The following is a 14830-nucleotide window of genomic DNA, read 5'->3' as shown; positions in this document are numbered from 1 at the left end:
AAACAAGTTTTTAAATTCCATTAATTCAAATTGGTAATTCTAGGTTCTGACACTAAAAGTTTTAAAGAATTTTAAAACTCTTTTGAAATCAATTTATCTGTGTCATTAACTAGTAAAAACTAATAAAAACATATTTTTTATAATTTATAAATTTATAATTTCATTATAATCATATAATTAATAAAAATAAAATTGACAAATATTGCAGTTAAAGTTAGGTCACATGCTTTAGATATCATAGTTATGCTAATATCTATATAATTATGCACTAGTGTCTTTTCTGTTTTAAAACTTAAAACTGCTAATATTCACTGCTTGCCAAATTATAAAATGCCTCTTTCACTTTTACCTGCTTCTATAGTTTTTCTAACCTATTTGAGTGAATGTATATTTATTGGTTATACAGAATGCCAGGAATTGTCTAGAAAACCAAATTGTCTAGAAAAGCAAAACAACAAAAATATAGCTACCATTTCTCAAGTTTTTTAAGCACAAAAAAAGGCTTTATTTTTATAAGGGCTTTGTTTTGTCTCTTGGACAAATGCCTATCCATTTACACAGACAGTCATTCATATATTGCAGTTCTTATCCTGCATATATGCTTTCTGCAAACATTAACTGATTATTGCTATGATCCATGCATTCCCTTCTACTCTAAGAAACTGGACAATATTGTCTTTCAGACATTAACAATCTAGTGAAACAATTGCTACCAAGTGAATCAGTAGAGATTAACAACATAAATGTCAGTCTTTCTGTGAAAAAGAGATATGTGAGTATATCAAATCATTGTCTATTATCTCCAAAGAACATTTATGTTTTACATATGCCATTCTTTATATGTACAGCTGAGTCACCTTTGAAAGGACTGGTTAATCAGGGTATAGGCAATCTGTTAATGCAAAAAGTTCAGCTACATTTTGCCCTGCCCTGTGGTTTCAGTGGTTCTCTGAAGGCAAATGATCCACATGTCTGAAACTCATAAAAAGGGCAGAGCCATTTTATTTTTATTTTTGTGACTTAAAAGAAGAAATTTACTGTTTCAGTTTTGGCAGCTAGAAGTCTGAGATCAAGGTTTTGGTGGGATTGGTTCCTTCCCGGGCAGTGAGGAAGAAGCTGATCCATGCTTCTCCCGTGGTTGCTGGTGGTTTGCTGGCCATCTCTGGTACAACCAATATTTTAATCATCCAATGAATCATTCCTCCTATTATGACTTCTTGAATCCTATGACCTTTCCTTCACACCTAGCTTAAGATTATAAACTAACCTCCCAAACTTTAATCTTCATAGAGATATAAGTCTTTAGACATCAAAAATCTTTTCTTTGTCTTTAGGTTTCAGAAGTTTAATTATTATGTGTCTTAGCAAGGATTTCCTTAGATTCATCCTGTTTGTCATTTGCCCTGCTTCCTGATTTTGTAGGTTTATGTGTATTGCCAAATTTGAGGAGATTTTAGTCATTATTTCTTTGAATACTTTTTCAGCCCTATAGTCTTTTTCCCCTTCTTTTGCAACTTTGATGACACAAATGTTAGTTTTTTGTTGTAGTTCCACAGATCTAATGCTCTGTAAACTTTTTAATATTTTTCCTCTCTTTTGTTCAGATTAACTTCTATTGTTCTAATTCCCAGTTCAATGATTCTTTCCTCTAAACTTTTTAATCTTTTTCCTCTCTATTGTTCAGATTAACTCCTGTTGTTCTAACTCCCAGTTCAATGACTCTTTCCTCTGTCCCTTCATTCTTCTGTTGAGCCCACTGAGCTTTATATTTCAGTGTTTGTATTTTTCAGTTCTAAAATTTTATTTGGTTCTTCATTACGTCTTTTATTTCTTGTCTGATACTTTGCTGAGGCTTTTTCTTTTTTATTTGTTTTCAAGTGCATTTATAATTGCTCACCGAAGCATTTTAATCTTTTTACCATGGCTGCTTTAAAATCCTTACAGATGTCATCCCATCATTGGCTTCTACTGATTGTTTTTTTCCATTCATTTTGAGATCTTGACGAGTGGCTTCTGATTGAAACCTGAACATTTTTATTTTATGTTATAAGACTCTGGATATTATTTAAACTTTATGTTTTAGCTAGTTTTTTGTTTGTTTGTTTGTTTTTTGGTTTGTGGAGGAACTCAGGTAGAGGAGGAAGGGGCATATGGACTCAGACCTGTTACTGCTGGGTGGAGGTAGAAATTCAGATTCCCCGCTCACTCACCTTCTGTTGACACTCCTTCTCATTATAGCAGGGCAGCGGTGGGAGGTCTAGCTCCTCAGGTGATCTCCAATGACAGTACGACAAGGGTGGCTTCATTACAGCCGGCAATGGTGAAAGCCATGACTGTCCTTCAGGCCTCCTCTGACATCATCTTAACAGGGTGTGAGAGGGGGGCCTTTGTAACTACCAGGCAGTGATGGAAGCCCAGGCTCACCCTGCAGTCTCCACTGATATCACAAGGCTTGGGGAGCTCATTACCAACCGAATGGGATGAAAGTCTCAACCCGCTATTTGGTCTCCTCTGACATCACCCAGTGATCGGGGCACTTCATTATACTGCACAAGGGTATAAATCTAAGCTCCTACTTTGTTGTAATGGGTTCTCTGAGTAGAGATGGGTTGGTTTTTTTCTGATTTCTTTTTTCAATTTTTTGTTTGTTGTTTAGCTGGAGTACACTGGTTATTATCTAACAGTTTTCTGTCTTGCTAGGCTACGACAAGTTCTATGGTCAGAGAGAACTGGCTGTTCCTGGGGCTTTTTTCTTCCATCTGAACCCTTTGGCATTTCTGGGTTGTCAACTTTTTCAGCTCTAAGTCTACCATGTATAAGACCAAAATAAAGCTCAGGGAACTCACCACTGCTTTTTGCTTTAGGTCTCAATATCACCAGACCATCTGCCACTTTCTCTCCACCTGTTAGAGTCTTTTCACATTGGTTTCATATATATTGTCTAGAGTTCTTAACAGTACAGTACTTCAGGAGAGGAACAGAGAAAAGTACACTATACCATATTTCCAGAAGCACAAACCTACATTCTGAAAATACAGTTGGCCCTTCACATCTTTAAGTTTCGTATCTGTTGGCTCCACATCCAAAGATTCAGCTAGCCATCAATCAAAAATATTTGAAAAGAAAAAAAAAGATATAAAATAATACAAATTTTTAAGCAATAAATGTAACAACTATTTACTTATTGTTTACATTGTATTAAATATTATACATTGCATTATAAGTAATCTAAAGATGATTTAAAGTATATAAGAGGTGTGTGTAAGTTATATGTAAATGCTATGCAATTTTTTTTTTTTTTTTTTTTTTTTGAGACGGAGTCTCGCTCTGTCGCCCAGGCCGGACTGCGGACTGCAGTGGCGCAATCTCGGCTCACTGCAAGCTCCGCCTCCCGGGTTCACGCCATTCTCCTGCCTCAGCCTCCCGAGTAGCTGGGACTACAGGCGCCCGCCACCGCGCCCGGCTAATTTTTTGTATTTTTAGTAGAGACGGGGTTTCACCTTGTTAGCCAGGATGGTCTCGATCTCCTGACCTCATGATCCACCCGCCTCGGCCTCCCAAAGTGCTGGGATTACAGGCGTGAGCCACCGCGCCCGGCCGCAATTTTTTTTATAAGCAACTTCAACAACTTCAGATTTTGGTATCTGCAGAGGTCCTGAAATCAATTTCAGAGCCAAGCATAAATCTTTCCGTTAGCCACTACATTACCTGCTTTTAGTTTTGGATTACAGTTTGGGTATTTTTAAAATAATATGAGCTTAAGAAATTTGAAAAATCAATGTCAGTCTTTGAAATTATGTAGGAGTCAACTTTATTTTGGCACAGCCTTTTAAATTTTTTCTCTGAAGACTATAATGAAGCTGGAGGGTAGAGAGAGAAATACACTATACCAAGATAGAATGATAGGAACATGCTCAGCTTCTCTACCCATGAGAAGACTGTATTTGGATTATAGTCCATATATATATCACCACAAATAATGTGACCTGAATGATACATACATGAACTTTCTATGAAGAATTATAGAGACAAAGGGAACTATAATTACAATAACCATAAACAGGGTGAATAAAAAGAAAGTTTGTAATAAGTAGAGAATTGTATTATATCATCAAAATGTGATAGCGAAAAACTAATGTAGATGAAGGTTTTTGTTACTCTGGAAATTTTTAATGTACATTATCACTACCATTCTCCAATTTTAAGCTTTGTGCTTCTGTTCAATGACTGCAAATGGAGTAGTTGAAACAAAACTGGTCAAAATGTTGAGTTGGTTAAAAACAAATTTTCCCCATCACTGGTTTTTATGTAAGTGCAATTTTAAAGTAACATGAGACAGTTGTGCAATAGCTTCTATAATTTTAAACATTTTTCCCATTTTTAGAATTTTAGGAGGTTTCTACTTGCTTCAAATTTCTAAATAATATTGAATATATTTTAGCCATAACTGTTTTTGTTGTTTGATTAGAAGTTTTTAAATGAATTTGATTTTATGTGTCAATTATCCTTAAATAAATTGGTTGACGTTTTCTCAGAAAACAGTGATACCTTTAAACTTTATGTGCTCTGAAGTAATTTTGTCAAATCAGTAAATATTGTCCACTTTCTAAGTTCATTTGATTTTATGAATTTTAAATTCATTTGCAAATACCAAGGCCAACTTTACATATTGAGTCATATTTTAAAGTTATTTTTATGTTTACTTTATATTTAAGCAGTTTTTACATGAAGCAATTGTTGTTATTCCAAGATAGGATAGCATCACTATTTGATATGTTTGTGCTGTTAAGACTTGGACCCACAGTAAAAAGCAAATATAACCTCAGTGCAGATTCCTGGAAAAAAACCACGCTGGCCTTGGATTGCCCAGTAAAGTAGGCATGATGTTTTATCTGCCAGCATCCCTTCCTTGGTAGGGTTGTTCTTGCATGAACACACCATAACCCTTACAATATATGAACGTATAAGATACAAGGGCCAAGTTTAAATCTTTCTATTAGCGATTACATTACCTGCTTTCAGTTTAGGATTATAATTTAGGTTCTAGAACTTGCAATGTAAAATCCTGATAAATACTAATTATAAAATGACAAACAAAAAAAGGACTGCTATGTAGCTTGTTTTGTGCAGGGCATGAAGTGGTGAAAAAACTGTGAAATGATTGAAGAGAACCAATAATCAATTCAATTGAAGCACTAGCTTAAAATGTGACTAATTTGCCCTTCACATAAATTATTAAAATTCTAAAACATTGTCAATAATGAGAGCAGGCTTTACTAGCTAAAGTAAAATTAGGAAAATAGCTTCAAGTGCTTCTGATAAAACAGACAAATAGACTTAAAGATAAACAAAGCTTACGAAAACTACTGTAAAATCATTAGTACATTAAAATAACAACAAAAAGACATAAATATGGATATGGATGAATATAGTTATATAAATATTTCTCAATTTGTCCTTATTATAATGATGTTTTGGCCATATTGTTGTCTTATATCCCCCTCCACCTTTTGTGTTCTAAATTTGCCATTCTCAATATTACTTTTCAAGACAAAGTGGTACATATGGAGATGAATATCATTTTCCATCTAATAAAACTGAATTAACTGTTAGCCTAGGATCAACCAGTGAGACTCAACCAGTTGAACTAGTGACATATTCCCATATAAAGGCAAAAGCAGCCAAGGCAAGAAATGGCTGAATTTTATGTGATCAGAGTCATACCCACTTCAGCTGTTAAATAAACCTCCTTAGCTAAAAGTTTCACCTTCCCCATGGAATATGCAACCAGAAAATATTGCCTAGATTTATATACACAATATCCAATGAGAAATAGAGAATAAAGGAAAAGATATTAGAAAAAACGAGATTTCCATTTGAATCATTGCTTTCACATACCTTTCCATATCTCCCATTACAAAATACTCTTAACTTGATGTTATTTTATTCTTCTAGTTTTCGCATTCAACCAGGGCCAGGTAAATCATTTATGGGGTCCAGGGCAAAATTTTTCAAAATCATTAAGAATTTCAAAATGGCAAGAACAAGAAACATTAAACTAAGCATGGGACCCTCTAAGCATGGGTTCCTGTGCAACTGTACATCACACGCCCATGTAGGTGGTCCTGCGAGGAAATGTAAATTATAAAACATATTGAACAATCTGATAATAAGCATTGAGGCCATGATATATATACATGATTTTTAACCATTTATCCCATCTCCGAGGCTCTATATAGGGGACATACCATAGCTTTTAATATTAATATACAAAATACATTTGTCCCAATGTTATTGTAATAATAGAAAAATTGACAATTTAATATTAAGATTAAATTGTGAGCTTTTAAAAGGTTCTTAGTAAAACATGCTTTCTTAATGACATAAAATGCCGAAGATGAGAAAAAGTAGGGCAGAAAACTAGAAATAAAGCCTTTTCCTTCTCTCACCTTCTCCCCACATTTGCTATTTTTCTCTATATATATTCTTAAAACTGAAAGGTTTTAATTTGATATTTAGTAAAATATCAATAGTGGTTAATTCTGGGATATGGAATTATATATAGTTGTAACTTTCTTCTTTGTGATTTTCTCTGGCTATCCTGTATTTTCTACAATGGATGTGTATTACCTTTACAATTAGGGGAAAAATAATAATAAAGCTTTCACCTAAAACTGACAGTTCCTTAACAAATACATGGAAGCAAAAAACTGTTTGAGCAGTAATACAAGTAGACCTGCTGCAAACATGGCACATGCTCTCTCTAACATAGTCCTTTTGTAACCAAGCAGCTTGACTTCAAAATGCATTTCTAAACCCTCTTTTTTCTTTTTGCTCCCTAGTCACAAGAAAAAACTTTGAAGCCAACTGCAGAAGCTTTGTTCCCTTAAACTTAAAATAGACTCCATGTCCCTCCCTTTCCCATCATACTCCCTTTACATTTATCTAACTTTATGCTAGTAGCTAAGTATGCACTTACTTAGAAGTTCCAGGGGCTAATCTTGAGACAGACAGACCAAGTCTTGAGATCCAGCTGCAAAATTCCAGAGATTACCTCAAAGTGTCTAGTTACAACCCAGCCATTGTTGAGATGACACCAGCCTGTGTTCCAGGTGGACTGAGAACCTACAGCCACCGAAAGGAGACACAGACCTTGTACTCAGCGCAATTCCTGCATGCAACTTAGATCAAGTTCCCCTTTTCACACTCTTGCCATCTCCCCAGAAATTCAAAGTGGTTACTTTGGATGGGAATCTGGCCATTTCGGCATTACTAGTTTTGGTCAATAAAGTCACTTTCTTTCTACCATACCTTGCTCTTGTCATTGGACTCTGCAAGCAGCTAATGGAGGGACTTGCCTTCAGTTACATCTTGGAGAAGCAAAATTTAGTGCAGAAATCTGTGTTCTAGCTCAGTTTACACAATTTTCTTGGTCATCTTGCCCTACTAGCTTGTTCCATTTACATCACTGAATGATTTAGTGCCACTGTTTTTAATGTACAGGTTAACAAATTACGAACATGAAACTATTTTAAGTGGTTTTATATATAGCACATTTCAATGGCTTTGTCCCAGAACAAACATCATCCTATTATCAACACAATCATGATCACATATTGAACAAGAGTATAGATGATATTTAGAAAAAAAAAAGTTTAGAATTTTGAAGCATCTTGAGCCCCTAACAACAAAGCTGAAATAAGGATTTGGGCATAGTTAGTTAATTTGGGAGGTGATGACACAGATCACCAGTAATGAGTGAGCAAGAGTTATAGGTAGTTAAAAAGAAGACAATAGCAGGACCCTTATTGAACTGCTTATTCCTATGGGCAATGAGTGCTCAATAAATCTGAGGTGGTATGTGGAATGCCTCTTGGAATCTTCTCAACAAAAACCAAGAAGCTGAGGTATTAAATTATCCCACTGGTTAAGGATTTGCCTGGAGGCATGGACTTCCCTGCACTTCATGGCTGCCTGTATAGGAGCTGTACAATCTTCTTTGGCTGTGAAAAGAGATGCAGCAGAAGACTGAGATGGTATGCTGTCAGGGTGCTTAGGAACTGTTGGCGCTGGTACGAGAGGTGGGCTGAAGGCATCTGACGTGAGGCTCTAAAAACAGCTACAACTGGAAAATAAAAGGAAGAAATGTGAAAGTGCAAGAATGAATGTCTTGCAATGTGATTAATAAAGAAAACTGAGAAGAAGTATGCCTGATTCTATTTGTTTGCATTTTTGTGGAAAGAAAGAGGAGACAGGGAAAGGAGGCTAACAGAGTAGGGCCACAGTTCTCTTACGTGAGCTGTGCTCTGGCAAAAATGTCACGGAGAAGTTAAAGGTATGAGACATTACCGATAGGGGAGGTAAACTGAAAAACAACTCCCAGATGTATGTGAGAATCCTCTTCTTGCCATCCTATAAAGACAAAATGTACTTTTTTCTGTAATTCTTCTTTTGTCGAACATCCAAATAGTTGTGCATCTCTGGATCCACAGCAAGGCTTATTTTTAGAAAACTATTATTTCAGTGGTTTTTAAACAATAAAACCAAAAGGAATCACTAACTCATAGGTCTATATACCACAATGGAACTAGAAATACCTTGGAGAATCAGGTCATTTCTGTCAAGTTCAGAGTAGGTTATGTGACATATCCCTTCTCACCACAGCTTTCTTGAAACACATATCCCTTCTCACCACAGTTTTCTTGAAAGATATGTTCAGCGACTTGGAGAGACATGACAAATGCATTACAATAAACTCTTTGTGAGTCCCTCCAGAGTGATTTCTCAGCATTTTGTGCATGTCTGTGTTGTAGCACTTAACACAGTCTATAGTAATGCATCTTGTACTTGTCTAAATCCCCAGAAACTGGCAAGTTTCACGGCGGGTAAGACCTTGTCTTATTCACATCTTCATAAGCAGTGCATTATTGACGTCTATACACAGTGCTCAGTGCATTGCCTGATGCAGAGTGGGTGACCAACACTAATTGGCTGAGTTAGAAGGCAAAGTATTTTTTAGATTAGCATTCCATGATTTGTGTCAAATACATTAATCCTAACATGGCTTAATCCATCTGGGATCTGAACTTGGTCCTGCCACTACAAAGAAGAGTATCTTTGGGTAAGTCAACAACTTTTCTTCAATCTCATCCTTTTTTCTCATCTTTACAATTAAAGGGATTAAGAAGATGATTTCTAGGGTGCCTTCAAGCTCTGGCAGTCAATAATCTATGTGTCACAGCTGTTAGCTCATTAGAATGCACTAAAGGTTGCCTGTTCTGTAAACTAGTTCAACCACTGTAGAAGTCAGTGTGGCGATTCCTCAGGGATCTAGAACTAGAAATACCATTTGACCCAGCCATCCCATTACTGGGTATATACCCAAACGACTATCAACCATGCTGCTATAAAGACACATGCACACATATGTTTATTGCGGCACTATTCACAATAGCAAAGACTTGGAACCAAGCCAAATGTCCAACAATGATAGACTGGATTAAGAAAATGTGGCACATATACACAATGGAATACTATGCAGCCATAAAAAATGAAGAGTTCATGTCCTTTGTAGGGACATGGATGAAACTGGAAATCAGCATTCTCAGTAAACTACTGCAAGGACAAAAAACCAAACACCGCATGTTCTCACTCACAGGTGGGAATTGAACAATGAGATCACATGGACACAGGAAGGGGAACATCACACTCTGGGGACTGTTGTGGGGTGGGGGGAGGAGGGAGGGATAGCATTAGGAGATATACCTAATGCTAAATGACGAGTTAATGGGTGCAGCACACCAGCATGGCACATGTATACATATGTAACTAACCTGCACAATGTGCACATGTACCCTAAAACTTAAAGTATAATAATAATAAAATAAAATAAAATAAAAAAAGAATGCACTAAAGGAATTCTGTCTCCAATTCCCTACCTAACTTCCCAAAGTAACTTTGAGGACCCTGTGACGAATGGTGTGTTTATGTGTAAGTGCACAGATATGATAAAAGGGAAATTAGACTTTTAAATCAGGAGGCTAATAAGTACTTTTGTTCTCTTGAAGTTTTAAAAGCGAGTATTTATGTTTGCTTAAAGGATTTTGGGTTGTTTCTTTTATGCTCCATTTCAATTTTCTATCATTGGTTTTAGAGATCTGCAGATGAATGTTAAGTCATCAATAACAAGAAGCAGCACTGTGTTAATACATCCTTTGTTTTTGCAACTCTGGCTTCTAGTTCAACAATAAGCACTAAATCTAAAAATTTTATTCACTTTATCAATGAACCTGAATGGAATGTCAGGCATTCTGCTTATTCCAGAACCTGAGAAACAAGTTGGAGATATCTTAGCGAGCTAAAAAACAAAAGCAATGAAAACATAATATTTCTGCCATTCATGCAGAACTTAAGACCTAGATAATTTTAGGGAATAAATGTGTACTATTACTATTGTTTTACTCATAGGTATTCCAAAGAAATAAGATAGCAATTGAGGAAGAAAATAAAAATAAAAATCAGGAAATCTATGTTCAAAGCAAGGCAATGAATTGAAAACTATAGTTAAAGAAATTGAAATATTTGAGAAAGAAATAGAAAGTTTTAAAAAAACATATTTTCGAATAGTGGTTATTTTAGTCATGTAGGCTTATCCCATTTTGAGGTATTTTTTTTTCAAACGTTATTTCCAAAGAATATTTGAATGACCTTGCCTTAAAGCAAATTCACTAAAGCCAAATCAGAATCTCAGTCTTCCAGGGTACTAACAGAAAGTGATATACATACATGTGGCAACATTTCACAGTGTTGTGACTTAGGCAAAAAAATATAAAAATGAACTCACTGAACACAATGTACATAAACATGCAATAGTTACTAGTGACAGTATTGGGAAAAACGTAATGGTGAATCACCAAGGAGAAAATTCAGAAAAGATTACCACAGCCCTGAGGGTACTTTGCTTAATAAATAGACAACTTAGAGGAATCTCCATGGAATTCATCCAAGTAGAAAAAAAGCCAATCTCAAAAGGTTTCATGCTGCATTATTCCATTTATAAAACATTCTTGAAATGACAAAATTATACAGACAGAACAGATTAGTAGTTTTCAGGGCAGGTAGGGGGAGGTGAGTGAGAAAGATGGCTGTGGTTATAAATGGGCGATAATAGGGAAGGTCCTTGTGGCAATGAAATTGTTCAGTATCTTGACCAGGGTGGTGAATACACAAACTTACGCAAGTGATAAAACTGCACAGAACTAATCTCACTCACACACACACATAGGTACACGTATACATACTACAGGTACATACAAAATGGGAAATCCTAATACAATTGGGTTTTACCAATGTCAATTTCCTGATTGTGATATTATACAATAATTATGCAAGCTGCTACAATTGGAGGAAACTGGCTGAAGCAGGAGTCCCCAGTGCCCAGAGCTGCTGACTGGTACTAGTCTGTGGCCTGTTAGGGACCAGGCCACACAGTAGATGAGTGGCAGAGGAACCAGCATTACCTGCTGAGCTCCACCTCCTGTCAGATTAGCAGCAGCATTAGATTTTCATAGGAACAGGAAATCTGTTGTGAACTGGGCATGTGAAGGGCCTAGGTTGCAAGCTCCTAATGAGATTCTAATGTCTGATAATCTAAAGTGCAACAGTTTCATCCGAAAACCATCCCCCTTCTCCCAACCCCCATGAAAAAACTGTCTTCCATGTAACCAGTCCCTGGTGCCAAAAAGTCGGGGACCCCTTTTTGTGTAAAGTGTAAATGGGATCATTCTGTATTATTTCTTACAAGTGCATGTGAATCTACAATAATCTCTTAATAAAAAAATTAATTACAAAAATCAATAAGGAAAGTACAGACAATTCATTAGGAAAATGAATCAAAGACTTGAGCAGGCATGAAAGAAGAAAAAAAAATGAAAAATAAATCTATGAAAAGTAATCAGACCCCTTGGCAATCAGAGAAATGCAAAATAAAATCGCAATTATATACTATTATGCAGACTGGCTAAAAATAAGAACATCTGATAAAACTGTTACTAACATTGGATCATAAATCAGATATACTGTTAGTGGGAGTATAAACAAATATAATGACTTTGGAAAACCATTTGTGTCACATTCCAAAAGATGAAAGACGTGCATTCTTTAGACCCAGAAATTTCACATCTAGGTATTAGAGAAATGTACATATATGCCAAGGATATGTGCTCATAAGAATGTTCACAGCTACATAGTTTGTTTTGGATAAAAACTGAAAACAATTCATGTGCATGTATAAGGATGGATAAATAAATTGGCATATATCAATACAATAGAATTCTATATGGCAAAAAAAGTATAAGATATATAGACATACACTACAATATGGATGAATCTTAAGGAATATAATATTAAGCTATATATGCAGGAAACAATTGCTATATTCTATATTAAGCTAAATCTTCTATATAAAATTATATGCTATATTTTCTATTCTATATAAAATTGCATTCTATATAAAATTATATACTATATGCTATATATTACAAATATATATTTAGCTTAATATAGAACATAATTTTATATAGAATATAAAAACTCTATATTAAGCTAAATATACAGGAAGCAAAATAATTGCTATTTTTATATATTCTATTTATATAAAATTTGGAAGCAGCTACCTTGTTGAAGAATAGCTACACAGGTCATATGTTTACATGAAAAGACAGAAAAAAAAACATGAGCTCAAAAGTCAATACAGTGTTTATACATGGAGCGGGGAGTTGGAAAGGATGGGAAGCAAAGGTTCTGAGCATGGCTTAGCATGTCCCTTGCATTCTATTTCTTCATCTGAGAGGTGATTACACATGCATTTGCCTTATAATCATTGTCAATCTGCCAATCGGCAAATATATTTGCACAATTAAGTATATTAAAATGTTGCAAGCTTAAAAAAATGAAATTTAAAAATTGCAGGACTTCGTTTTGCTGAATAACTACAGACTGAATTTAGAAGGCAGTAATGCAGGGCTAAATACACAAAATAAAATAAATGGAAAGTTACAGCCTCCAAACATTAAGCATTTTATAATACATTCCTTTCCCATCCTCACCTCCACTCTAAGGAAATATCAAATGCAAATGAAAATAATTAGCTGCCCATAAATACAATTTTTTTTATTCAGTGGTGCATGGAGAATGAATAAGCATAAATAATTTACCCTTTGATTGGTGTGATCTATATTGACAAAGTTTCTCCTCATCTGAACGCTTATTTCTGATCTTGAATTTTCTTCTGTTACCATAGTAAGTACTTAATAATCATTTATAAAATGAATATATTTCTATTTAGTAAAAAATATTACACTTAATATTTTTCATTATAATAACTTTAAATGGAATCATACTTTTATGCATACAAAAAAGATGAATAAAATAGACCAAAAATTTTTTCTTCCTTTTGGCATTCTGGCATATTTTGCAATTTCTCATCTTCTACAATGGATGTATATTGCTTTAATGATTAGAGTTATTTGAAAAATAAAAGGAAAGCAATAATTTAATGATCAATTTAGGTCACTGAAAATATAATCAGGAATAGGCAAGTTTATCATTATTTTGACCAATGTTTATTACTGGAGTCTTAGGAAATGTGGTCTAACTAGCTTCAGATGGGTTTTGTTTAGCAACTGTGGTCGTTGCCTCATTAAATGAGAGAGATCAGTGGAAACAGAAATTCCTTAAATTACTCAATTGCATTTTTAGCCTTTGAAATTCAATTTGGGAGCCAAGACTGATTACTATATTTGAGTGTTTGTAATTTCTTCCTCCCACTTCCTGCCTTAATCCACTATTTAAATTCTGCATATAATTCTTCATGTTATAATTATTTGTGCATTGAATTTGTATGACTTTGTAGACTAAGGGTCCAGGATTTATCTGAAAGTTCCCATTACCTCAATTAAAAAATACATATATATGGGAGCAGTAAGGCCAATGTCTCCTGAATTCTCTTATAACCGAGATGTGCCCGGGCCAGCCTCAGATTTCACCCTACACAAGACTCATTTCTAAGAAGCAGATCGCTTCCCAAATCATTAGTGAGCTACATAAGCTTTACTAGAGATTACATAGAAGACACAGATGTGGACGAATGTGTGACAAAACAGCATTTTTGCCTCATTGTAAGTAACCTTCATCAAACATCTTTTACTAAGACTGTTTTCTTTCCCACTGACTTCCAAATCTTGTTCTTCTCTTCAACCTTCTATCTTTCCCAGCCTTCCTCCACCCTCCCTGACTGTTATCCCCTCTCCATTACTCCCTTTCTTTTCTTTCTTTATTTAGAGACAGAGTTCTACTCTTCTCACCCAGGCTAGAAGGAATGCAATGGCATGGTCTTGGCTCACTGTAACCTCCACCTCCTGGGTTCAAATAATTCTTCTGCTTCAGCCTCCCGAGTAGCTGGGATTACAGGCGCCTACCACCATGCCCAGCTAATTTTTGTATTTTTAGTAGAGACGGGGTTTCGCCATGTTGGCCAGGCTGGTCTCGAACTCCTGACCTCAGGTGATTCACCAGCCTCGGTCTCCCAAAATGCTGGGATCACAGGCGTGAGCCACCACACCCGGCCCCATTACTCCCTTTCTTAACCAGAGAAACGTATCTGTGTCTGAACCTCCAAATTTGCTTCACCACAATCACATTTAACATTGTTTTAACTATGCAAAAAGCCATTAAGCTGAGGATTGGGGATGATGCTGTGTGTGTGTGTGTGTGTGTGTGTGTGTGTGTGTGTGTGTCCCCAAGTGAGGAAATACAAAGTAGTTAAGAGATC

At 35.5% G+C, this 14830-nt stretch overlaps 1 annotated feature.

Moving 5' to 3' along the window:
• Positions 558-758: a silencer, noted in NCBI's record as "peak7308 fragment used in MPRA reporter construct". NCBI's record gives its function as "represses an SCP1 promoter by STARR-seq MPRAs in K562 erythroleukemia cells {active_cell/tissue: K562}" and the evidence as "EXISTENCE:reporter gene assay evidence [ECO:0000049][PMID:32103011]".

Source organism: Homo sapiens, chromosome 9 (assembly GCF_000001405.40).
Source record: "Homo sapiens chromosome 9, GRCh38.p14 Primary Assembly".
NCBI lineage: Eukaryota > Metazoa > Chordata > Mammalia > Primates > Hominidae > Homo > Homo sapiens.
This window is presented reverse-complemented; position numbering and strand designations above follow the sequence as displayed.